Below are 24,502 nucleotides of genomic sequence, written 5' to 3'. Positions count from 1 at the left end.
CTGAATGTTTTGGATGACTAAAGGAATTGTTTTAATGACCCACTGGCTTTTTGAAACTATTTATGTTGAGTCTCATATTGGATAAACAGCTAGCTAAAGCGAGCATTTTCAAAATAATTTATTTTAGAGAATTTATTAAAAAGAAAATAACCAAATATTTAAGGTTGAAGTTTTATTGTCAATTCAGTGGAAATTCAAGTCGGAGTCAGCCATAAGGATGATCAACAAGGTCTACATAAGCAACCCCATCCCCAACTCACACCCCCAAAAAAACCTGCCTGGACACCAAGCTTCAGCGAGCTTTCCTGGTTGGCAATAATTCATGCACAGAATCACACATTGCTGCCAGGAGAATGCAGCATTGTCTATTACTTTACTGGGAGAGGACAACTGAATGCCTGTGCTTGGAATTCTCCTGAACTCTGCCCATGTACCTCCTTCCTTGAATTATTTTAATCTGCATTCTTTTGTTGTAAAAAATCATATCAACAAACGTCACAAGTTTCAGTGAGTGATGTGAGTCCTTCTTGGGAATCATAAGAAGTGAAGCGTTGTTGGGGGAGTCCCTAGCTTACAGTTAGCATCAGAATTGAGACTGCTGTTGGAAACTCTTAGATTTTGCAGGTTCTAATGTCACATTTTTTTTTAACTTCAAAACAGGTTGTATTTGGGAAGAGTTTCTCATTTTGTTAAAGCTGCAAGCAACCTTCTTTCCCAATTACACTTCTAGAGATCTAGTAGTTTCAGAGATCTCAGTATTCAAAGATATATTTCAAAATTAATAACAAAACCAAACCCACACCAAAAAGAAATCACTTTTAGAATGATTTGGAATGTACATTGATTTCTGGCATTCTCAGAAACAAGCTCACCAACTCCTTGGAAAACGGGTGCCATGGAGTCAGTGCCCACCGAAGAAAATGTCTTTAAATAAGTTAGTTACTTGGACAAGATTATTCACTCCTTAGAAAATACATCAATGTAACAAGTCCCAGCAGGCAGGGTATGCAGTACAGCACCAATTTCCCAGAGGGCTTAGTGGATCTTGGGATGAGCAGTTGTTGGTTTACGGCCCTCAGAAGAAGAGCAGTCACTGAAAGTGGAGAAAGAGTGTTGGCAGGCAGGAGCCTCTCGCAGTCGTACCCAGACTTTTAACTTGCTCAAAGGAGAGGCTGTGTTCAGTAGCATCTTTGGGAGAACATTTGAGACAGTTAAAGGCAACAACAAGAAAAGCCCTACAGTATTACTCCCCAGAAAGTCCATATCTGAAAAGAAAGAGGGACCCATTTGAGATTTCCTGTGGAGGACTGTGTCTCCCATCCTTTTCTGTCTCCAGCAGGTACAAGACATCAGCCAGAGTGTGCTCTACCACAGCATCCCATCCCATGTCACTCAGGGCAGTAAGTGACATCATTTTTAGGAAATTAAAGCACAGTCCAAAGTTAATGAAAACCACCCAGTTCTTGTCCAGTGAGATGGCTGGAAAGTAAACATCCTTGAAAGTATTTTTGTAAGCCACACCTTGATTGACACCTTTTTATAAAATATTAGCTCACTATGAGGAGTCCGTTTTAGGTTCTTCTCTGCTTTAGCGACAAAGTCTTTTTCCTCAAAATGCAAATAATTCTTGAATTTTATCAAAGCTTTATGCTCATAAGTATTAGGTATGACTTGACTGTTTCTGTGTCTTCAGAAAGAGTAGCACAAAATTTCAGGATGTCTCCCTTCCATAGTTTGAAATGTAGTGTTTGCCAAGGGACTGGTGAAACTTGGATCTTTTTTGCTCTGCAAAGAATAACTAAATTTACTCATTGTTTAAACAATGTTATTTAGCCAAGTAATTATTCCAAGTGTCTGAATGGTCATCATGCAATCCCCGTATTTATCAATAAATGGTATAATATCCTTATCTTTAGAGAACGTTACCTTTAAACATTCAGCCTGTGTTTGGGACTAACATGTCCTGTTGGACAAAGCAGTAAAGCACGTTTCGTTCATGTTTGCTTGCTACAGGAGGAAATAGACATTACTGCTATGATAACGTACATTGCAATGAAAACTGTAGTTGGTCATGAGGTAAACGATGAGGCATCTATGCAAGACTTATCAACTGTGAACCATTTTGTACAGAAGCAGATGCCCCTCTCCAGCTGGAGGGGCTGCTACCTCTGCCACCAGCTTCATCTCCCCTTCTTTGGCCACTGTTGCATTTGCGGCTGCTCCTGGGCTGGGTTGGGCACCCACCGCTAACATCATGGCCACCTCTAGACTTTCTCATATTATTCTGAGTCACCTGTAATGAGGTACGTCTGACTCTCTTAACTTGTTAGGATGCTGCAGGGCTGGAATAAAAGGAAGGGTGTCCTGGATGCTGTGGGGCTGGCATAAAAGGAAGAGTGTCCTGGATACTCATGCACACTCTCCTAGTCCTGTAGGTTTCCACTGTTCTTGGAGGTAGAGAAACTGCACCAAACATAAATCTTCCTCTTTTTGGCTGTAGTAAAATATTCATACACAAAATACATTATTTCAACAATTTTCAAATGTATACTTCAGTGACATTAAGTAAATTAACACTGTTGTACAACCACAGTACTGCCACTCATCTCCACAAATTTTTTATTTTCCCAAACCAAACTTCATACCTGGGAAACATCGTTTTACTTCTTGTCACTGTGGAGTTAACTATTCTAGGTACCTCATATAAGGGCTGGCAAACAATTTTTGTCCTTTTGAAGTCAGCTTATTTCTGACGGCATGATGTCTTAAAGGTTCATCCATGCCATCGCATGGGTCAGACTTTCTTTTTAAGGCTGAATAATATTCCCTTGTGTGTGTATAATATATCTTGTTGATTCATTAGTTGACACTTGGGCTGCCTCCACCTTTTAGCTATTGTGAACAATGCTGCTATGAACGAGGATGTACAATTTTCTCTTTGAGATCTTGCTTTCAATTTTTTCAGGCACATTCCCAGAAGTGAAAATTCTGATAAAATGGTAATTCTATGTTTGATTTTATGAGGAACAGCCATAAGGCATCCACAGTGGAAGCATCATTCTGCAGTCTCTCCAGCAAATCGTAACAGTTGCAATTTCTAAACATCTTTGCTAGAACTTTTAATTTTCTGTTATTTGGTTAATGCCATCCTAATGGGTATAGAGTTGTATATTATTGTGATTTGATTTGCAGTGTACTAATAATTGGTGATGCTGTACATCTTTTCATGTACTTATTGGACATTCGTAGATCTTTTTTTGTAGTAATATCTACTCAAGTCCTTTGTCCTTGTTTTTTTCGGGTTATTCCTATTTTTGTTGTTACTGTTGAGTTGTAGAAGTTCTTTCTATAGCTTGGATGCCTTATCAGATATAAAGTTTGTAACAATCTTTCCCATTCTATTATCTGCATTTTCACTCTGTTGGTAGTGTCCTTTGCTGCACATAAGTTTTACAGTTTGATGAAATGCAATTTATCTATATTCTTCTTTTTCTATGTTTTCCCTGTCTTTTTTGTGCCATATCCAAGAAATCATTTCCAAACCCTACGTTGTGGACCTACTTCCCAATGTTTTCTTTTAAGATTCAGTTGTGGCTCTCCCATTTGTGTCTTTGATTCACTTCCAGATTGCATGTGGATATCCAGTTTTCTCAACAGCATTTGTTAAAAAGACTGTTCTTTCCCTCACGAATGGTCTTGGCAAGCTTGTTGAAAATCATTTGACCATATAACTGAGAGTTTTCTCCAAGGCACTCAATTCTATTCTATTTGTCTGTATGTCTGTCTATATGTACCACTCTGTTTTGATTAGTGTATCTTTTTAGTATGCTTTGGAATCAGGAAGTGTCAGGATTCCAACAACGTTCTTCTTTTACAAGATTATTTTGGCTATTTTGGGTATCTGGATTTTAGAATTATATCCATTCTTGTACCAAGTAGTATTGGAATTTTGATAAAGATTGTGATGACTCTATAGTATATTTTATTTTGGTTTCTACTGGTATCTTAACAATATTGAGTTTTCCAATACATAATCAAAAACGTCTTTCCATTTATTTGTGTATTCTTCAATTTCTTTTAGCAATGTTTTATTGTTTTCAATGTGCAAGTGTTTTACCTTCTTAAGTTTATTCTTAAGTATTTTACATTTATTTATTTATTTGGGACAGAGTCTCACTGTGTCACCTAGGTTAGAGTGCAGTGGCACCATCTCCTCTCACTGCAAACTCTGTCTCCTGGGTTCAAGTGATTATTGTGCCTCAGCCTCATGAGTAGCTGCAATCACTGAGTGTGCCACCCACCCAGCTAATTTTTTTTAATCTTTTTTTAGTAGAGACAGGGTTTCACCATATTGGCCAGGCTGGTCTCTAACAACTCCTGACCTCAGATGATCCCCCGTCTCAGCCTCCCAAAGTGCTGGGATTATGGGCACCAGATACCGTGCCAGCCGCATTTTACTCATTCTAATGACGAAATTTGAATTGTTTTCTTTTTTTTTTAATGTATAAGAATGTTCATAGTAGTTTTATTCCTAATAGCCAAAAAAATAAACTGGAAATAATCCACATGTTCCTCAACTGGCGAATGGTTAAACAAGCTTGATACAACCGTACCATGAAACATTACTCAGCAATAAAAAGAAACAAACTATATAATTGATACAACGCAACTCAGATATATCTCAAGGAAATTGTGCTCCGTGAAAAAAGCCAATGCTGAAAGGCTGCATAATATATGATTCCATTGTTATAATATTCTTTTTTTTTTTTCTGTAAGTTATTGGGAAGATGGTGTTTGGTTACATGAGTAAGTTCTTTAGGGGTGATTTGTGAGATCCCGGTGCAGCCATCACCTGAGCAGTATACACTGTACCATGTTTGTTGTCTTTTACTCCTCGCCCCTCTCCCACTCTTCCCCCCAAGTTATTTCTCATTTTGGTAGGCTCTGTCAGAGGAGAGGTCTAGGGCTAAAGGCTGGTAAGATTTTTTTTGTTCCATGGGGTGTTCCCTTGATGTAGCACTCTCCCCCTTTTCCTGTGGATGTCTTCCTGCGAGCTGAACTGCAGTGATTTTTGTTTCTCTTCTGGGTCTAGCCACCCAGCAAGTCTACCCGGCTCTGGGCTGGTACTGGGGGTTTCTGCACAGAGTCCTGTGATGTGAACTATCCATGGGCCTCTCAGCCATGGATACTAGTGCCATGGATACTAGAGCCAGGAGGCCTCTCACCCGATTCGAATTGTTGCAAAGTTCAGCTAGGGAAGTCCTTCTTCCCGTGGAGTTTTACCCGCTGCTTGTCTGTCCTCCTTCCTGATGTATTCCTGTGGTGCCAGAAAGGAATGGGTTGCTTGGGGATTCAGCAAGTTCCCAGGGCCTCCCCGCTACCTCCTACACCTGTGTATTTCACTGAGCTTGGCTGTCTAACTTAACTCCGTTCCAGGTAAAGTTGAGAACTTCTCCTGCTAACAGACTTTCACATTCTTCAGTAGGGGTGTGTGTTTGGGAGAGGAGGGTCTCCTTTTCCCACTTCCGCAGTTGAGGCACTCACAGTATTTGCGGTGTCTCCCGGGTCCTGCGGGTGCAGTCCCCTTCCTTCAGAGGGTCTGTGGGTCCTCTTGAATTGTTTTCTTAATTTCATTTTGGGTGGTGTCCTGTTTGGTTAAGTATAGAAATACAAGTGACTTTCCTTCCTTTTTATTTTTTTATTTTTGGTAGAGACAGGTTCTTGCTTTGTTGCTCATGCTGTTCTTGAACTGTTGACCCCAAGCAATTCTCCCACCTCAGCCTCCCTAGTGTTGGGATTATAGGCGTCAGCCACCATGCCTAGCCATGAGATGTTCTTAAGTGGTGATTTTGTATCCTGAAACATTACCAAATTCACTTAATCATTCTTTCAGAATTATTTTCTGGGTCTTTTAATGGCGTTCTACATATGACATTATGTCATCTGAAAACAGAGATAATTTTATACTTTTATTTCTAGTTTTTATTCTGTTTATTTCTTTTTCTAGGCTAAATGCTCTGCCTAGGTCTTCCAATAATATTTGGAATTGAAGATGTGAAAGTATGCATCCTTGGTTTGTTCCTGATATTACAGAAAATGTCTCTGGTTGTTCAGATTTTATGTGATGTAAACTATGGGAGTTTCATAGATGGTCTTTACTATGTTGAGGTAGTTTCCTTCTATTTATAGTTCATCGAGTGTTTTTGTCATGAAAGGGTGTGGAATTTTGTGAAATAATTTTCTGTAGCCAAGGTCTTACTGCTTTGCATCTGGATGAGCCACTCTGCTCTACATCAACCCATACCATGTCTATTACATGCCTGGCTTTCCAGAGGAAGGGATACCTTGTGTTCTCCAGGGGCCACTCCACCAGACCCACAACAGTAGTAACCTGCATGAGGTGAGAGGGGAACAGAAGAGGCCCTCTGTAGATGTTGACTGGGATGGAGGTATCCCTGCCACCCTGGACTCAGACATGGGCAACGTGTTTAGGGACAATAGGGGAATGGACTAGAACCAGAAGCAATAGAATGAGGGGACTGGCTCAGTGTCCTGTGGGTAATTTGGGGTGACAGTTACAGAGAGTCACCCCATTTGTCCCAGAGTTGGTGGCTGTGTTGATGAATCTCTCAAAAAAGTCAGTTCCTTTCTCACTCTGACCACTACCTGCTGATAGCCCCTCTTCCTTTAGATTGATCAGGCATTCATCAGGCATTGATCCTTTATGCCCCACAAATGTAGGAGACCAGCTGGACTTCTATGAATGGCCCTGAAGTTTCTATTAATGGGTTTTAGATGAAGGAAAGGGGGTGAAATGGTTCTTTCATGCAAATCAGCCCCCTCCTCATAACTCCCAAGCCCTTAGTAGAACCTCACCCCAGAGAGTCATCTGAATACATTTCCCAGGTGGGATGGAGAAGGCCAGTCTGGCTACAGCCAGCTTTCCTGTGAGGACACAGCCACTGATCCAGTGGGCAGATGAAACAAGGTCACAGCAGGGGTGGACTTCCCAGCTGTTATCATCTGCAGACTGCTCCAGGACAAGCCCAAAGCACTCAGCGCTACCTCAGTCCCAGACCCATTGAGTCCTTCAGTTTCTCCATGCCTTTGTCTATTTCCTTTTTCACCAAAGATAGAACGTGAAGGCCCTTGTTAAGATGCATCTGCACTTATTGTTCTGAACACAATTCCTGTACCATGACATGCCTGTCTGGTCCACTCTGCTAATTTTAGTAAAGTCCTGGGATCTTGGCCTCACTGAAGGAGATTCCCTGACAAGCATCAGAGCCCTGAAGTTTCATCTGTCATGGGACAGAAGGAGAGCCCCTCTGAGCTCTTCTAATCTTACATGTTATTTATGCTCTCCTGGCTGAAGCCATTCTGTGTAGGGACTAAAGAGCCCTTTTGCATCTGGTTGTGACAGGACATGCGGTCCCAGGTCCAGAACTCAGGCTGCAGCAATTTCTGGGGAGGCCCTGAGTCTGCAAACTTAAAGGATAATAGAAAGAATTAGGGAAGTGAGTGGGGATCATTGACTGGGGATCATATCACATGTATTTAGTGCCAACTGACATGTTCACTTGAGGGTAGCTCTCTTAGAGAAGCTCTGTCTTTGACGTTAAGCACCTAGACCTGGCATCAGGAAGGGCAGGCCTGCCACAGCTCTGCCTCTTTCAAGCTGCGAACCCTGTGTGGAGTTTCCCGATAAAATGCAGGGCACCCAGTTGTTTGTATTACAATTGAACAATACTGTGTGGGTGATACACATACAGATTCTTTATCATTGTTTTTACTGAATTCAAATTTAACTGACCTCCAGTGTTTATATCACATTGGTGCACAAGTCCTTGTGGGTTTTGCCATTACTTTTATTTGTAAAACCTGCAATTACTTGTGCACCAATTTAATATTTGATAAATTTTAGAACCTTACCTCCAGGCCACAAAGCATTACCTCTTCAATCACGGTCTACTGCCTGAAAAGCAATAATAAAGCTATTGTCAGGATTAAATGAGGTCACATCCTCAGGAATTAAAAAGCTGTTGATTGATAGTAAGATTGCAATTGTTCTAAATCTTAATGCAACCTGTCAAAAGCTCTGGGATACAGCAAAAGTGGTGCTTAAAGGACAGTTTATAGCATTAAATACCTACATCAAAAAGTCTGAAAGAGCACAAGTAGAAAATCTAAGGTCACCCCTCACAGAACTGGAGAAACCACAACAATCCAAACCCAAACCCAGGAAAAGAAAAGAAATAATGAAGATCAGAGCAGAACTAAATGAAGTCAAAACAAAAAAAAATACAAAAGATAAATGAAACAAAAAGCTGGTTCTTTGAAAAGATAAATAAAATTGGCAGACCATTAACGAGATTAACCAAGAAAAGAAGAGAGAAGACCCACATAAGCTCAATTAGAAATGAAACGGGAGATATTACTATTGATACCACAGAAATACAAAAGATCATTAAAGGCTACTATGAACTCTTTTATGTACATAAACTAGAAATCTTAAAGGAGATGGATGAACTCCTGGAAATATACAACACTACTAGGTTAAACCAGGAAGATGTAGAAACTCTGAACAGACCAATAACAAGCAGCTAGATTGAAATGGTAATAAAAAAAATTGCAAACAACAAAAAATCCAGGACCAGATGGATTCACAGCTGAATTCTATTAGATATTCAAAGAAGAACTGGTACCAATCCTTCTGACTCTATTCAACAGCATAGAGAAAATGGGAATCCTTTCTAAATCATTCTGTGAAGACAGTATCATTCTGATACCAAAACCAGGGAGGACATAACAAAAATAAACTACAGACCAATATTTCTGATGAATCTAGATGCAAAAATCCTCAACAAAATACTAGCTACCCAAATCCAACAGCTGTCTTAAAGATAATCTACCATGATCAAATTGCTTTTATACCAGAAATGCAGAGATGGTTTAACATCCACAAGTTGATAAATGTGATACACCATATAAACAGAATTAAAACACAAAATCACATGATTATCTTAATAGATGCAGAAAAGGCATCTAACGAAATCCAGCATCCTTTATGATTCAAACTTGGCAAAATCAGCATAGAAGGGACCATACCTTATGGCAACAAAAGCCATCTATGGCAAACCCACAGCCAACATTATACTCAATGGGGAAAAGTTAAAAGCATTTCCCCTGAGAAATGGAACAACAAAAGGATGCCCACTTTCACCACTTCTATTCAACGTAGTACTGGAAGTCTTAGCCAGAGCAATCAGACAAGAGAAAGAAATCAGGGATATCCAAACTGATAAGGAGGAAGTCAAACTGTCACTGTTTGCTGATAATATGATTGTATACATAGAAAACCCTGAAGACTCACCCCAAATGCTTCTAGCACTAGTGAAAGTATTCAGCAAGTTTTAGGATACAAAATTAAAGGACACAAATCAGTAGCAGTGCTATACAACGACAGCAACCAAGCTGAGAATCAAAGCAAGAACTCAACCCCTTTTACAATAGCTGCCAAAAAACTAAAATACTTAGAAATATACCTAACCAAGAAAGTGAAAGACCTCTACCAGGAAAGCTGCAAAACACTGCTGAAAGAAGTCACAGATGACACAAATGGAAATACATTTTATGCTCATGGATGTATAGAATGAATATTGTGAAAATGACCATACTGCCAAAACAATCTACAAGTTTAATACAATTTCCATCAAAATACCACCATCATTCTTCACAGAACTTCATAGAACTAAAATTCATATGAAACCAAGAAAGAGCCCCGGTAGCCAAAACAAGTCTACACAAAAATAACAAATCTGGAAGCATCACATTACCTGACTTCAAACTATGCTATAAAGCCATAATGACCAAAACAGCATGGTACTGGTATAAAAATAGGCACATAGACCGATGTAACAGAATAGAGAATGCAGAAATGAAGCAAAATACTTAGAGTTAACTGATCTTTGACAAAGCAAACAAAAACATAAAGTGGGAAAAGGAGACGCTATTCAACAAATGGTGCTGAGATAATAGGCAAGTCACACGTAGAAGAATGAAAATGGATCTTCATCTCTCATCTTATACAAAACTAACACAAGATTGGTCAAAGACTTAAATCTAAGACATGAAACCTTAGAAATTCTAGAAGAAATTGGCTTAAGCAAAGACTTTATAACCAAGAATCCAAAATGAAATGCATTAAAAACGAAGATAAATAGATGGGACTGAATTAAATGAAATAGCCTCTGCACAGCAAAATAAACAGTCAGCAGAGTTAACTGACAACCCACAGAGTGAAAGAAAATCTTCCCAATCTATACATCTAATAAAGTATTAATATCCAGAATCTACAAAGAACTCAAACTAATCAGCAAGAAAAAAACAAACAATCTCATCAAAAAGTGGGCTAAAGACATGAATAGACAATTCTCAAAAGAAGATATACAAATGGCTAACAAGCATATGGCAAAATGCTCAAGATCACTAACGATTAGAGAAATGAAAATCAAAGTCACAATGCAATACCACCTTACTCCCTCAAGAATGGGCATAATAAAAAAATTAAAATAATTGATGCTGGCATGGATGTGGTGAAAAGGGAACCCTTTTACACTGTTGGTGGGAATGTAAACTAGTACAACCACTATGGAAAAGAGTGTGGAGATTCATTAAAGAACTGGATCTACCATTTGATCCAGCAATCTCACTACTAGGTATCTACCAAGAGGAAAAGAAGTCATTACATGAAAAAATTACTTGAACACTCATGTTTATAGCAGCACAATTTGCAATTGCAAAAACATAGAACCAACCCAAATGCCCATCAATCAATGAGTGGATGAAGCAAATGTGGTATATATATATATATATATATATATATATATATGTAGACTGCTACTCAGCCTTAAAAAGGAATGAAATAATGGCATTAACAGAAACCCGGATGGAATGGAGACTATCATTATAAGTGAATTCACTCAGGAATAAAAGGGCAAACATCATATGTTTTCACTCATAAATGGGAGCTAAGCTATGAGGACACAAAGGCATAAGAATGATACAACGGACTTTGGGGACTCAGGAGAAAGGGTGGGATGGGGTGAGGGATAAAAGACTACACATTGGGTACAGTGTTCCCTGCTTGGGTGATGAGTGCACCAAAATCCCAGAAATCACCACTAACAAACTTATTTATGTAACAAAACAACATCTGTTTCCCAAAAACCTATTGAAATAAAAAAATTTTAAAAAACACTAAAAACCTTAAAAGCCAACATAAAATAATAAATAGAAAAACTTTAAAAAGATAAGAAATTCTCCCATTATAGAAAGAATTAGAGGGAAGAGATGAAGAAGCAAGAATCCTGAGAAGCCCTCACTGACTCCTGTCACCTTAGATGAACATCACCCGTAGAGTTTGATTTGATGGACAATGAATTCAAACTTTAAAATAAATAAGTAAATAAATAGAATCAGAAGAGAATGTCCTAGACCCTCAAAGGTTGTAATGAGCCCTCTGTAGAATGGGATGCAATTCAGCAACAGCAGGGAGAATCTGAAAAGAAGTGTGCAGAGTGAAAGAAGCTCGAACAAATGGGAAGATAGTGTTTGATAACACTAGTAAGTTTCAGAAAATGGAAACCATACAGTAGTGGCAAAGGCAGATTCCTGGCTGCCCAGGAGGGCATTCGGGGAGTGAAGGAGATGACAAAGCATCATGAAGGGCTGCTGGGGTTAGTCAGAGGTTGCATAGCTCAGTGGTGGTGATATTTTCAAAGATCCAGAAAAATGCCAAAATGGGCCGAATTTAATGCTATAAATTCAGCTGGTTTATTAGGTGTGCATTTTTCCTTCATGAAAGGAGTTTTGTTAAAAAAAAAAAAAAAGAATAGGCCTGGGAGAAAAGAAACACAGGGACTCACATTGAGGAGCAGGGAGAGGAAGACACCACTCCGGAAACTCCTGGAATTGGGGAAAGGAGAATAATGAATACATGGGTTCCCTATCAGAGGTGGGTCTGAGGTGACACAACTGGATCTGCCACCTGAGTCCAGAACTTCAGTGTAGAGACTTTGTGTCCCAAGTTAAGGGAGAGGGATATTCTGCTTCCTGGATTCCCTGTTCCTGACTCTGAGGACAGAAGGGGAGGAGGAGCCTCCACTCCCAGGCAGGGCCCTGGATGCCCCTGGGACCATGAGGGAAGCAGCAGCCGCAGAAGCCACAGGCCAGGCCTGAGCAGCAGCTGCCGGGGCTCACCCTCCTGGCAGAGGAGGAAGTGGGTTCTTGTCTCAGTTCCCCCCGGGCCTGGAGCACTGTGGAACCACTCAGGCTGCTGTCATAGGACTGGCAGTAATAATCAGCCTCATCCTCAGCCTGGAGCCCAGTGATGGCCAGGGAGGCTGAGGTGCCAGACTTGGAGCCAGAGAATCGGTCAGGGACCCCTGAGGGCCGATTGCTGTTACCATAGATGAGGAGTTTGGGGGCTGTTCCTGGAAGCTGCTGGTACCAGTGTACATCATAACCTGCCCCGATGTTGGAGCTGCTCCCAGTGCAGGAGATGGTGACCCTCTGCCCTGGGGCCCCAGACACTGAGGGCGGCTGCGTCAGCACAGACTGGGCCCAGGACCCTGGAAGTGGGAGAGACACAGGCATCATTATTCGGCTTCTAGAGACAACAGGAGAAAGCAAGAATCCATAGGCTTCCCAGGGCCCCTCCCCTGGACCTGTATCCAGTCACCTGTGCAGTGAGCGAGGAGAGTGAGGAGGAGAGGAGACCAGGCCATGCTGGAGATTGTCCTGAGTGCTGCCTCTTGTGCCCACAGCTGAAGCAGAGCCTCCCCAAATCTCTCCCTGCCCCTCTTCATACTCTGAGAGTGGGAGGGTCCATCCATGCAAATCAGACCCCCAGCTTTCTAATCCCACCCTGGGCCCTGGGTCAGGTCCCTATGCCTGAGGATGTCAGGGGGTGGCAGGGGTGGGGCTGTGTGGTCCCACGGGTGTAAAGGACGCAGCTGTGAGCCCTGAGCAGAGGACACTAGGCAGGACAGGTGGCTGGTTCTGCTCTGATCAACCTCAGTCTTCTCAGGAATGATCCCCAAGTGCCCTCTAGTGTCCAGACCGAGACAAACCATGGTATGACAAGGTGACCAGAGCCTCTAGAGACCCCACTGCCTCCGCACTGTTCTGTCCACTGCCCCCTGTCAGGGCCAGGCCAGGTGGTGCCTGTGTCTTCTCCCTGTGACCTCAGTCCTCCCACTTTACTGGGCTCCTCGGGAGTGAATCTGTCCGTGGCGCTCTCACTGTTTATTGTAGAGGACTCAGGTGGTGACTACACAATGTCCTCATAGGTCACAATCAAACCCAGAGCAGGGACCGACTTTCATGGACTCACGTTCCCATTTGTGGGGACACCGGGTCCTCTCATGTGGCTCCTCCCTGGTGGCCAGGGCTCTCCTTCCTCTGTGGATCCTGCAGCGCTGAATAGAAGGGAAGCTCTTCCCTCTAGGAGGCCCAGGGCACATTCCCAGAGGGTTATTCTGGTCAATCTTCATTCTCTACTTCCCCTGAATTGCAGTCATAGTCATCTGGATCTTGTGACCGGGCTGAGCTGTGTCTCACATACAGGACAAGGCTGCTCATGGCCCTCTCCCTGCCCAGGAATGCTCTTCCTGGTGGATGCCCCATCAGCTCTTAGGGTGAGGGCAGAGCGAGGAGCAGGTCCACAGCTACCTCTCCCAGTTCAGCCCCATCCTGGGTCCAGTATAATGTGTCCCATGTGATAAGAGGTAGGTCTCTGTCAAGTAGTTGCTGAGCACGTATCTTTTGCTGGGCATAGAGCTCAGCTCTGGAAATGCCATAATCCCTACCTAATGCCATAATCCCTACCTAGACAGCCTAATCCCTACCTTTTGCAGCTAACCCTGATGAAAACACAGGCATAGGAAGGGCACAGGAGTCCACTCTTCCACCCCCTTAATCCCTGGGGCAGAGACCAGAGAAGTCCCTGCTGCACTCCAGGGTCTGAGAAGAGACTTCGACTTGGTGGCATCACAGGGGAAGAAGGAAGAAGGGACTACAGGAGAACCAAGGGCATATGGGCATGACCTGAAGATTCCTGGTGTTCAGGTGAAGATGTAAGGAAGTCCACGAAGTAGATACAGATGAATAAGATTAGATAAATTACAGGATCTAGGAGAAGTGGACTGCCGGGAAGGAGAGATTGGATTGAGAAAGACACCCTGGCAGGGCAAGTCCTCAGAAATCCAAGAAGATGTACTTTTGTTCCCCAAGTCCAGGAGCTTGTTGACTGGTTGGGCCTGATCTGCTGGGGCTACTGGAGAGGAAGGCAGGGAGGAGCCACGTGTCAGCAGGAGAGGTGAGGAGAGGGGGAGAACATGAGCAGAAGAAGAGGAGATGCCACTTTAGGACAGCCTGGATGGGAGGTGTGCGATGGGAATGTCCACATGTACAGATATATTTCTAGATATTTCATATAAATGGGATCATGTTAATTTTTAGATTGTTGTGAGAGAAGAAGACAAATTCAAACTATCTTGCTATTATTCTAAAAGGCGGTGTATCTTCAGCAAAGAAAATTTGCTTCACAGGTGCTATCCTGGTGGACTGTAAGCACTGGGTTTTACAAAGGCTTTTTTACATTTCTTTTACCATCATACTGCTTTTTTTTCCAGAAATATATATACCAATTAAAATTGATGACATAAGTTAAGATTACATTTTTGTGAAAGTTATGCACTTATCTTTTTGAAACGTATACTCTGAACCTTTCAGAGGTTATTCATTGAGAAGACCAAGAACATTCACTACCTAATGTATTCATGCTGTTGTTTCTGAGGAGTAAACTCTTGAAGCTCTGGAATTAATTTTCTTAGATCTTGGAGTAATTCCTAAGGGGTAATGAAACTTTTCTTTGCTAACCCTGTATTTATCTAAGGAACCCTCTCATTTCTTTTTTTTTTTGTGACAATGGCCTGTAGATACAGGGTTGGCATCATTAGCTCCTGAGTGGAAAATGGACCATGACAAGGAATGAGAGCAGAAGAGTGAGTATAGAATTTTGGTAATCAAATAGCTCTAGACCTGAGGAAATAACATGAAATTATTTGGTAGAGGTGGCACTTTCTAGAGGGACACAGAGAAGGAGAATCTAAGGTTTGAGAAATCTAGGAGAGTTCAGTTAGGCTTTAATCATCGGCTTTGTGTCCTGAAGGGGCAGGGTCACAGCTGAATCAAAGCCAGGTTGCTGCTGATCCAAGACCCTGTGACCAGGACTGAGGTAAGACTCTCAGCAGTGACACGGCTGACCTGGCGGAGCAGTCGCCTTGAGATGAGAGCAGAAGGAGGCTCCCTACACAGTGCATGGACAGAAAGGGAGGTGCAGGTGCTGTCCCCTGAGTCTGGTCCTTACTTGAAAGAGGGGCAGATGGAGGACAGGTGCCGAGGTGATGGTGATCAGTGGCTTCTAGTGTGGCTTCTTGAACTTCTTTCCCTTTTTTTTCTCCTCTGAGCTTAGGAGGCCAACATGAGGGTGTTTATCTGCTTCCTGTCTCTCTGGAGGCTACCTGATTCTCCTATCAATGCCTTCTTGATGAGCATGGATGTGTCTTGGCCCAGAATTGATGTGCAAAAAGAATATCAGAAAGGCCAGAGAGCCCACGATGGAGATTTGTGGGTCAGAGTCTCTCTTGCCTGTGTCCCAGCCCAGCTGTCAGTTTTCGCAAGACAACACCCATCACGAACTGAAGTTGAGGGTGGAGGGTAGAGTGATTCACACACTGGGGCTACTTAGGCAGAGCTCCTGGTCTTTTTCCTCTTCCTGTCATGTCTAGACCCCAGATCTCCCAGCCATGAGTTCAGCATATAAGTGTCCCCAGCTGCAATGTTTGGGACAGGCAGTGTGTGGCCCAAACCCATAAGATATGCTCCCTGGTCCCCATGATGCTGTCATGGGAGATGGCATGAACGATTTCGTCTGGTTGTCCTGAAGGCTGAGATTCCTCACCAGTGGGTCAGGGAGGGCAGATCTTTCTCATTCTGGAACTTTTTTTTTAGTGAGGATGTCATATGTAAAACTGGAGAGTCATTTTGTTTCCAAATAGGAATTCAGCCAGGGGACAGGAGAGGTTATGGAGAACAAACATCTTATATATCTCAGAGATAAGTTTTCCTCTCCCCGTTGCCATGTGGAGAGGAAAAAGTCCTGTGACACCTTTGAACAAGTCTGGGGAGCTGTTGTCTAAGTTTTCATTGTGACAATGAGCTCGAGCCTTCCTGCAGCCCCCTTGCACTTGAAGGACCCCCCAGCAGTGTGATCACTGTGCCCCACTCAGGTCCTAAGGCCAGCCTTGAGCATCTCCCCTCACCCAGGCTTCAGTACCTCCTCCCCAGACACTGGTGCTGAATCTCACCACTCACTCCCGGTGACTAGAGCTGGTCCCATGGCCTTCATACTGCCTACCTCCTTGTCCATCTTCTCTGAAGCATCTGGAGTTTTCCTCACAAACTTACCTCAGATTCTGTGTCCTCTTTGTCCAACCCTCTAATGGCTCCTCTACCCTCCCCCACACAAGCTCTCCTCTCCTCACTGTGCGATGCCACCTTATCACATCAATATTCTAACTTGATTCTCTTTTCCACAAGTCGGTGTCAGCTAGGATATTCCAGGCTTATCAATCAGCCTTTATCCATTTTGGTATCAGTGCTGGGCTCTGCTACGAGAGCATAAGTCTTAGATGTCAGAGTCTGGGAGCTTCAGTACAATCAAATTCCCATGAAAGCCCCCAGTTCTATTGGCCTGAGAGGGAGGCTCAGCCTCCCCTCAATGCCTGAGTGGGCAATAATCCTCTACGAATTCTTATCTGAGGAAAGGAACCTCTTCAGACTTTTTTTTTATCCTATTCTTACTGAAACTGAAACTCAAGAAGAAATGAGTAGATGGCTCAGGAGATCTGGTCCACCATCTGAGCCTCAGTTTATGCCACCCCTCCTCACTTTAGTAAGAGGGTCCTCACTATTTTCTGGTCCCAGACACCTCCACCACCTCCCTCCACCATCTGGGGGGACTGGCTGGCTCCACTGCCTGGTATAATGCCTGGACCTTCCCTTGCCTTCTGTGGCTGCCTCCTCTTTATTTCTGTGGAAGGAGGAAGCCAAGGGGAGGCTGGTTGAGAGGAGAGAGGGGAGCCTTGGGGAGGCTTCTGATTTCTAACTCTTTCTTCTCCTCATTGTTTCACTGAGAGGTGATGAGCAGTTTGCAAGGGGTGGGGTTGGTGCCCTCTAACCCAGTCCTGGGCACATAGAAATAAATGTTTCTACAGATTCAGAGACAGCCCTTACAGAGTTTGGAAACAATGCCTGGGATGGAGGCCCTGGGTTGAGCAAGGTCCTCAAGTAGCCCTGAGCCCTCACCTGGCCACAGCTACAGTGAGGAGAGTGATGGGAGGAGGGTGACGGAAGGAGTCCAGGTCTTCGGGAGCACCTCTGCTCCCTCAGGCCTCTAGTGAAGCTCAATGGCCCACACTTCCTCACTCCGTCCCCACACCATGGGCAGGCACAGGAAGGACTGTGAAGACACAGTTGGACCTGCCACCTCAGCCCACGATTTCAGTGCAGAGACCCTGTGTCCCAAGCTGAGGAGCAGGATATTCTGTCTCCTGGGGTCCCTGTTCCTGACTCTGAGGACAAAAGTGGTGGAGCCTCCACTCCTAGGCAAGGCCCTGGATGCCCCGAGGCCCATGGGGGAAGCTACAGCAGCAGAAGCTACAGGTCAGGTGTGAGCAGCAGCTGCAGGCACTCACCCTCCTGGCGGAGGAGGAAGAGGGTTCTTGTCTCAGTTCCCCATTGGCCTGGAGCACTGTGCAAGCTCTCAGGCTGGTATCCCATGCTAAGCAGTAATAATCGGCCTAGTCCTCAGGCCAGAGGCCAGTGATGCCCAGGGTGGCTGAGGTGCCAGACTTGGAGCCAGAGAATCGGTCAGGAATCCCTGAGGGTCGCTTATTATTTTCATAGATGAGGAGTTTGGGGGCTGTTCCTGGGAGCTGCTGGTACCAGGATACCGCATAATTCCCCATGTCGGAGCTGCTTCCAGAGCAGGAGATGGTGACCTTCTGTCCTGGGGCCGCAGACACTGAAGGCGGCTGCGTCAACACAGACTGGGCCCAGGACCGTGGAAGCAGGAGAGACACAGACACGGTGATTCTTGGTCTAGAGAGAGAAGGAGAAAGCAGGGCCTCATGGGCTTCCTGGACCCCTCCCCTGACCCTGTGTCTGGGCACCTGTGCAGTGAATGAGAAGGGTGAGGAGGAGAGGGGAGCAGGTCATGATGAAGATTGTCCCGAGTCCTGCCTTCTGTGCTCACAGCTGAAGCAGAGCTTCCCCAAGTCTCTCCCTGCCCCTCTTTATACTCTGAGAGAAGGAGGGTCCATCCATGCAAATCAGACCCTCCAGCTTTCTGATCCCACCTTGGGCCCTGGGTCAGGCTCCTCTGCCTGAGGATGTCAGAGAGTGCCAGGGGTGGGGCTATGTGGTCCCAGGGGGTGCAGAGTTGACATCTGTAAGCCCTAAGCATAGGGCACCAAGCAGGACAGGTGGCGCTGGTCCTGCTCTCATCACACCCAGTCTTCTCAGTAATGGTACGCAGGCATCCCCTGGTGTCCATTTTGGTCATGTACACCACCATTGTATAACAAGGTGACCAGAGCCTCTCAGAGACACCCCTCACTCCCCGTTGTTCTGTCCATGGCCCCCTCCATCAGGGCCAGGCCAGGCAGCCCCCTGAGTCATTTTTTTCGTGAGCTCAGGGCAGACTTCACATTCTACTGGGTTCCTCAGGGGTGAATCTGTCCATGTCTCCTTGGCTGTTCACTGTATAGGACTCAGGTGGTGACTACACAAAGTCCTCTTATGTCAGAATGAAATCGAGAGCAGTGACCAGCCCCATGGACTCATTTCCTCACCTGTGGGGGCACTGGGTCCTCTCCTCTCGTGTGGCTGCTCCCTGGTGGCCAGAGCTCTCCTTCCTCTGTGGATTCTGCAGTCCTGGGTCGATAGGGAGCTCTTCCCTCCGGGATGCCTGGGGCACATTCTCAGAGGGTTATGCTGGTAAATCTTTGTTCTGTCTCTTCTTTTCCAGACTTGCAGTCATAGTCATCGGGATCCTGTGACCAGGGATCTCACCTAGGAGTCTGTTCTCCATCACTGAATGCCAATCTGCGGGGGATCCTGGCAAATGACTTTGCAGTGTTTTGCTAAAGAGCAAAACAAGCAAATATGCTCAGTATTTGAAGATGGAAGAGTTAAAACTTCAGCTTGTTTTGACCAGAGTCTGTACTTAAGTGAGCCTGACACGTGGTAGCTTTTAGGATCAACCATTCCAACTAGGATGTTTAGGAAAGAATACTGTTCAAAATCGCTAATGAGTGTTTTGGGCATGTCTGAAAGATGATAGAAATTATTCATCTTTGATGTGTAATGAAATCTAGAATATGATACATTAAAAACAGTAAACTGAAGAAAAAAGATAATCCTATTTATTAAAATGAAACAGATTGTATATATGACTGCAAGAGTTCTGGCATGATACACCTGGGATTCAACAAATATTTTTTGGGGCAATCCCATGTGGTTGGAGAACAGCAGGATAGTTATTTACTCTGGTGAGTCTGTCACCAGGCAGTTGTAGTACCATGAGGTTTTACATGCACCATTTAAACAATGTACTAGGTCGAGCACTGTGGCTCACGCCTGTCATCCCAGCACTTTGGGAGGCTGAGGTGAGTGGATCACTTGAGGTCAGGAGTTTGAGACCATCCTGGTCAACATGATGAAACCCCATCTTAGGCCGGGTGCAGTGGCTCACGCCTGTAATCCCAGCACTTTGGGAGGCCAAGGTGGGCGGATCACGAGGTCAAGAGATCAAGACCATCCTGGGCAACATGGTGAAATCCCATCTCTATTAAAAATGTGAAAATTAGCTGGGCATGGTGGCGGGTGCCTGTAGTCCCAGCTACTCAGAAGGCTGAGGCAGGACAATTGCTTAAACCTGGGAGGCAGAGGTTGCAGTGTACCGAGATTGCGCCACTGAACTTCAGCCTGGCAACAGAGGAAGACTCGGTCTCAAAAAAAAAAAAAAAAAAAAAAAAAGAAACCCCATCTCTACTAAAAACACAAAAATTAGCCAGGCATACTGGTGCGCACCTGTGGTCCCAGGTGCGTGGGAGGCTGAGGCAGGAGAAGTGCTTGAACCTGGGAGCTGGAGACTGCAATAAGTCGAGATTGTGCTACTGCACTCCAGCCTGGGTGACAGAGCTAGACTCTATCTCAAAAACAACAAACAAGCACACAAACAAAAATCCACAATGAAGTAGTGATCTCTAATATAGACATTTAAATAAAACCAGTCAAGATAAATAACTGAAATAAAATGTATGCTGTATTTTAGGATTGCATTTCCAGGGTGTCATTATTTCAAATGTTCCTATTTATTGTAAACCATGTTACTTTAAATATTTTTATAGTTTTCGAAAAATGTTTGTTGTGTTTACATAACACACCAGGCATATTAAATTTTATTTCTTTTAAAGTAGAAACCAATTGTAACTGGGCTTGCACTTCCTATTTTCTTGTCATTGCCTCCTCTGTGATGATACATAGACATTCACAGTGAATTTTGTTTATCTTTTTCTCCCACCTTCATGAACAGAGGTTCCCCCAGGCTGAGCAGTGTCTCCCATACAGGACAAGGATGCCCATGGCCCCCTTTCTGCCAAGGGATGCTCTCCCTGGTGAACGTCCCATCAGTTCTTAGCCTGAAAGCAGAGAGAGGAATATTTCCACCACTGCTTCTCCCAGTTCATCCCCATCCTGGACTCAGTGTAATGTGGCCAGTGTGATGAAATGTAGGTTTTCTCAAATAGTTACTGAGCACCTACCTTGTGCTGGGCACAGAGCTCAATGTTGGGAAAGCCATGTTGATCTAGACAGCCTCATTCTGCCTCATGAAGCTGATCCTGATGGCAACACAGGGGTAGGAGCGGCAAAGAGGACCTCCCATTCTCCTCATTCATAATTGAAGCAAAGAGACCAGAGAGGGCCCTGCTACACTCAGGGGTCTCAGAAGGGATGACTTGGTGGGATCTCAGGAGAAGAGAAAATAAGACATTTCAGGAGAACTGAGGGAATATTGGCATGACTTGAAGATTCCTGGGGTTCAGGTGAAGATGCAGGGAAGTCCACAGAGTAGACCTAGATGGAGTAACACAGAGATAAATAACAGGATCCAGCAAAAGGGGATGCCCAGGAACAGAGGGATTGTGATCCAGAAAGAGACCCTTGCAGGGCAAGTCCTCAGAAGTCCAACAAGATGCACTTTTGATCCCCAGGTCCAAGAGCTTGTTCCCCTGGTGGGCCCAATCTGCTAGGGATCTGGAAAGGAAGGCAGGGAGGAGTCACGTGTTAGCAGGTAGATGTGTGGAGAGGAGCAGAATGGGGGCAGAGGGATTCCACTTTAGGAGAAGATGGATGGGTGGTGGCAGATGGGAATGTCCAAATGTACCTGTATTTTTCTAGATATTTCACATAAATGGGGTGATTTTAATTTGTAGATTGTGAGATGAGAAGACAAAATTCATAGCTATGTTGCTATTATTCTAAAAGACAGTGTATCTTCAACACAGAAATTTCCTTCACAGGTTCTATCCTGGTGGAGTATAAGCACTGAGTTTTTAAAAATGCTTTTTAACATTTATTTATCATCATACTGTTTTTCTCCAAAATACATAAACCAATTAAAATTGTTGACATATGTGAATACTATATGTTTGTGAAAGTCATACTCTTACCTTTTTGAAGCATATTCTCTGACCATTTCTGAGGTTATTCATTGAGAAGGCCAAGAAGATTCACCACCTCATATATTATGCTGTTGTTTTTGAGTTGTAAACTCTCGAAGCTCTGGAATGAATTTTCTTGGATCCTGAAGTGATTCCTAAGAAACTTTCCTTTGCTAACCCTGTATTTATCTAAGGAACCCTCTCCTCCCCATTTTTCATGTCAATGGGCTGTAGATACATGGTTGGCCTCATTAGCTGCTGCGTAGTAAATGAACCATGACAGAGAATGAGAGCATAAGTGTGAGTATAGAAGTCTGGAAATCAAATGGCTCTAGGCCTGAGGAAATGACCTGACATTATTGGGTAGAGACAGAACTTCCTAGAAGGATATTGAGAAGGAGAATATAAGATTTAAGTAAATCAGGAGAGTTCAGTTAGAGCCCTAATAGTTCACTTTTTGTCCTGAAGGGGCAGGGTCACAGCTGAGTTAAAGCCAGGCTGATCCTGATCCCAAACCCTGTGACCAGGTCCCTGTGAAGACTCTCAGCAGTTACACAGGTAAGCTGGGGGAGCAGCAGTCTTGGGATGAGTCCAGAAGGAGGCACCCCACGGTGTGAACAGATGAAGACGTGTTTCTCTAGGCCTCTGAGTCTGGTCCTCACTGAGAGAGGGGCAGGTGGAGAACAGGTGCCCAGGTGATGGTGGGCAGTGACCATTTATGTTTCTTCTTGAATTCCTTTCATTTCCTTATGTCCTCTGGGCTTAGGAGGCCAACATGAGGGTGTTTATTTGCTTTCTGTCTCTTCTAAGACTACCTGATTCTCAGATCACTGCCTCCTGTATGGGCATGGCTGTGTCCTAGCCTGAAATTGATCCATTATAGGAATATCAGAAAGGTCAGGGAGCCCAAGATGAAGCATTGTGAGATGAGGACACACAGGCCCATGTCACTGCCCAGGTTCCAGCCTCAAGGAGACATCACCCATCATGAACTTAGGATAAAGGTGGAGGGAAGAGTGATGCACACAGGGGGCCATGTAGGCAAAGCTTCTGTTCTATTCCTCTCCTTTCTAGACCCTAGGTCTCCCAGCCATAAACTTAGCCTGTAAGCGTCCCCAACTGCAATGCCAGGGACAGGCACTGTGTGGCCCAAATTAATCAGAGAGTCCCCCCGGTAACCATGATGATGTCAGGGGAGATGGCATGAGTGATCTAGTCCAGCCATCCTGATGTCCGAGATTCCTGGCCAGTGGGTCAGGGAGGGAAGATCTTGCTCATTCTGGCAGGTTTTCTGTGAGGATGTAATGCCTGGCACTGGGGAGTCATTTGGTTTCCAAATACGAATTCATCCAGGTGACAGGACAGGTCATGGGAAGGGAATTCTCATGTATCTCAGAGGGAGATTCTCCCCCTTGCCATCTGCAGAGGAAAAGGTCCTGAGATGCTTTTGAACAAGGATGGGGAGCTGGTGTCTGTTTCCATTGTAAAAATCAACTCAGGACCTCCCCCAGCCTTCTTGCTCATGAAGGCCCTCTCAGCAGGGGGTCACTGTGCCCATCCAGGTCCTAAGGCCAGCCTTGACCCTTTTTCTCACCCGGGCTTCAGACCCTCCTCCCCAGAAACTTGTGCTGAAGGGGTGGAGGCTGAAGAGGGAAGACACATTACTGGGGAGACAGAAGGTTTTCCTCCCAGCTACCCACTGGCCTGCAGCACTGCCTAATCATGGATCCTTGGGTCTCAAGATGAGCGAAAGAATCAGCCTCATTCTCTGCCTGGAGCCCAGAGATGCTCAGGGATGCCATGATCCCCAACCTGGGACCTGAGAACTTCGCTGGGACCTGTGCAGACCAATGACTGCTGTCATAGATGAGGAGTTTGGGGACACTGCTGATACCAGGACACAGGCCCACACCCAGCCTTGCTTCTGCTTCAAGTGTGATAGATGGCGGCAGTTTACCCCACCCACAGGAACTCTTCACACCACTGAGTCAGCACAGACTGGGCCCAGAACCTTGACACCTGGACTAACAGAGGGTGAGAGAGGTGGGTCAGTTGAGAGGGCAGCATGCAGGGTCCTCGTTCCATTCACCCACAGCCCTGATCCCTAGCCCTAGTTACCTGTGCAGTGAATGAGAAGGGGGAGAAAGGGAGGAGCTCAGGCCTTGGTGGGGACCCACACACAGCTCTGCATCCTGATGACACTCAGCTGGGCTTGAGCTCCCCCAGTCCCTATTACTTTCGCCAGCAGCCCAGGATGAAGGAGGGTCTCTTCATGCACACCAGCCTCCTCCCCTGGGCTGGCCAAGTCCCACCCTAGGCCCTGACTCTGACCCTTGCCTAGAAAGCTGAGCCTGGGATGGGGTGGACCAGGGTGGGGCTGTTCTGTGGCTCCCTAAGGACCTGTAAGGACACAGCTGCTGGTCCTCGTGAGCAGAGGCAGAGGGCTCCAGCCTAGGCCTAGCAGGTGGCTCCCGTCTGGGATCCACAGCACAGGCCTCAGCTCAGCTGCCACATTACTTGCCAGAAACCTCATCTCTCATGTGTACAAAGCCACCATGTCCTAACTGGACCATCTTTCTTCACTCTGTCCCCTCCTTTTTCATCTTCCTTAGAGAAGCTGGACTTTGCCTCCTGAATCTCAAACCAGA

General features: G+C 44.8%; 1 long non-coding RNA gene, 3 pseudogenes, 1 gene segment (V, D, J or C) and 1 further gene, besides 1 other annotated feature; 1 reads left to right on the top strand and 5 right to left on the bottom strand.

The window, feature by feature from the left end:
- Positions 1-24,502, bottom strand: part of IGL (immunoglobulin lambda locus) — an 896,838-nt gene that overhangs the window by 500,309 nt on the left and 372,027 nt on the right.
- On the bottom strand, positions 818-2,228 carry ASH2LP1 (ASH2L pseudogene 1; annotated as a pseudogene).
- On the bottom strand, positions 12,323-12,788 carry IGLV1-40 (immunoglobulin lambda variable 1-40). The segment is given in 2 exon segments: positions 12,323-12,621; positions 12,743-12,788. Coding segments are annotated over 2 exon segments (345 nt in total).
- On the top strand, positions 13,408-19,809 carry LOC101929255 (uncharacterized). 2 transcript variants are annotated; one of them, XR_007068016.1, is made up of 4 exons: positions 13,416-13,790; positions 13,920-14,380; positions 15,003-15,068; positions 19,157-19,809. It is a non-coding gene; the product is annotated as an uncharacterized LOC101929255 (long non-coding RNA). The 2 variants fall into 2 exon arrangements; XR_938052.4 differs by having other exon boundaries at positions 13,408-14,380.
- Positions 17,730-17,789: a silencer, noted in NCBI's record as "silent region_13526". NCBI's record gives its function as "represses an Ori minimal core promoter by ATAC-STARR-seq in GM12878 lymphoblastoid cells {active_cell/tissue: GM12878}" and the evidence as "EXISTENCE:reporter gene assay evidence [ECO:0000049][PMID:35858748]".
- On the bottom strand, positions 17,884-18,345 carry IGLV1-41 (immunoglobulin lambda variable 1-41 (pseudogene); annotated as a pseudogene). Its single transcript is given in 2 exon segments — positions 17,884-18,190; positions 18,300-18,345. Coding segments are annotated over 2 exon segments (353 nt in total).
- IGLVVII-41-1 (immunoglobulin lambda variable (VII)-41-1 (pseudogene)) lies at positions 24,023-24,321 on the bottom strand (annotated as a pseudogene). Its single transcript is given in 1 exon segment — positions 24,023-24,321. A coding segment is annotated over 1 exon segment (299 nt).

Source organism: Homo sapiens, chromosome 22 (genome assembly GCF_000001405.40).
Source record: "Homo sapiens chromosome 22, GRCh38.p14 Primary Assembly".
NCBI lineage: Eukaryota > Metazoa > Chordata > Mammalia > Primates > Hominidae > Homo > Homo sapiens.
The sequence above is the reverse complement of the archived record's forward strand: the minus strand, read 5'-3'. Positions and strand labels throughout refer to the sequence as shown.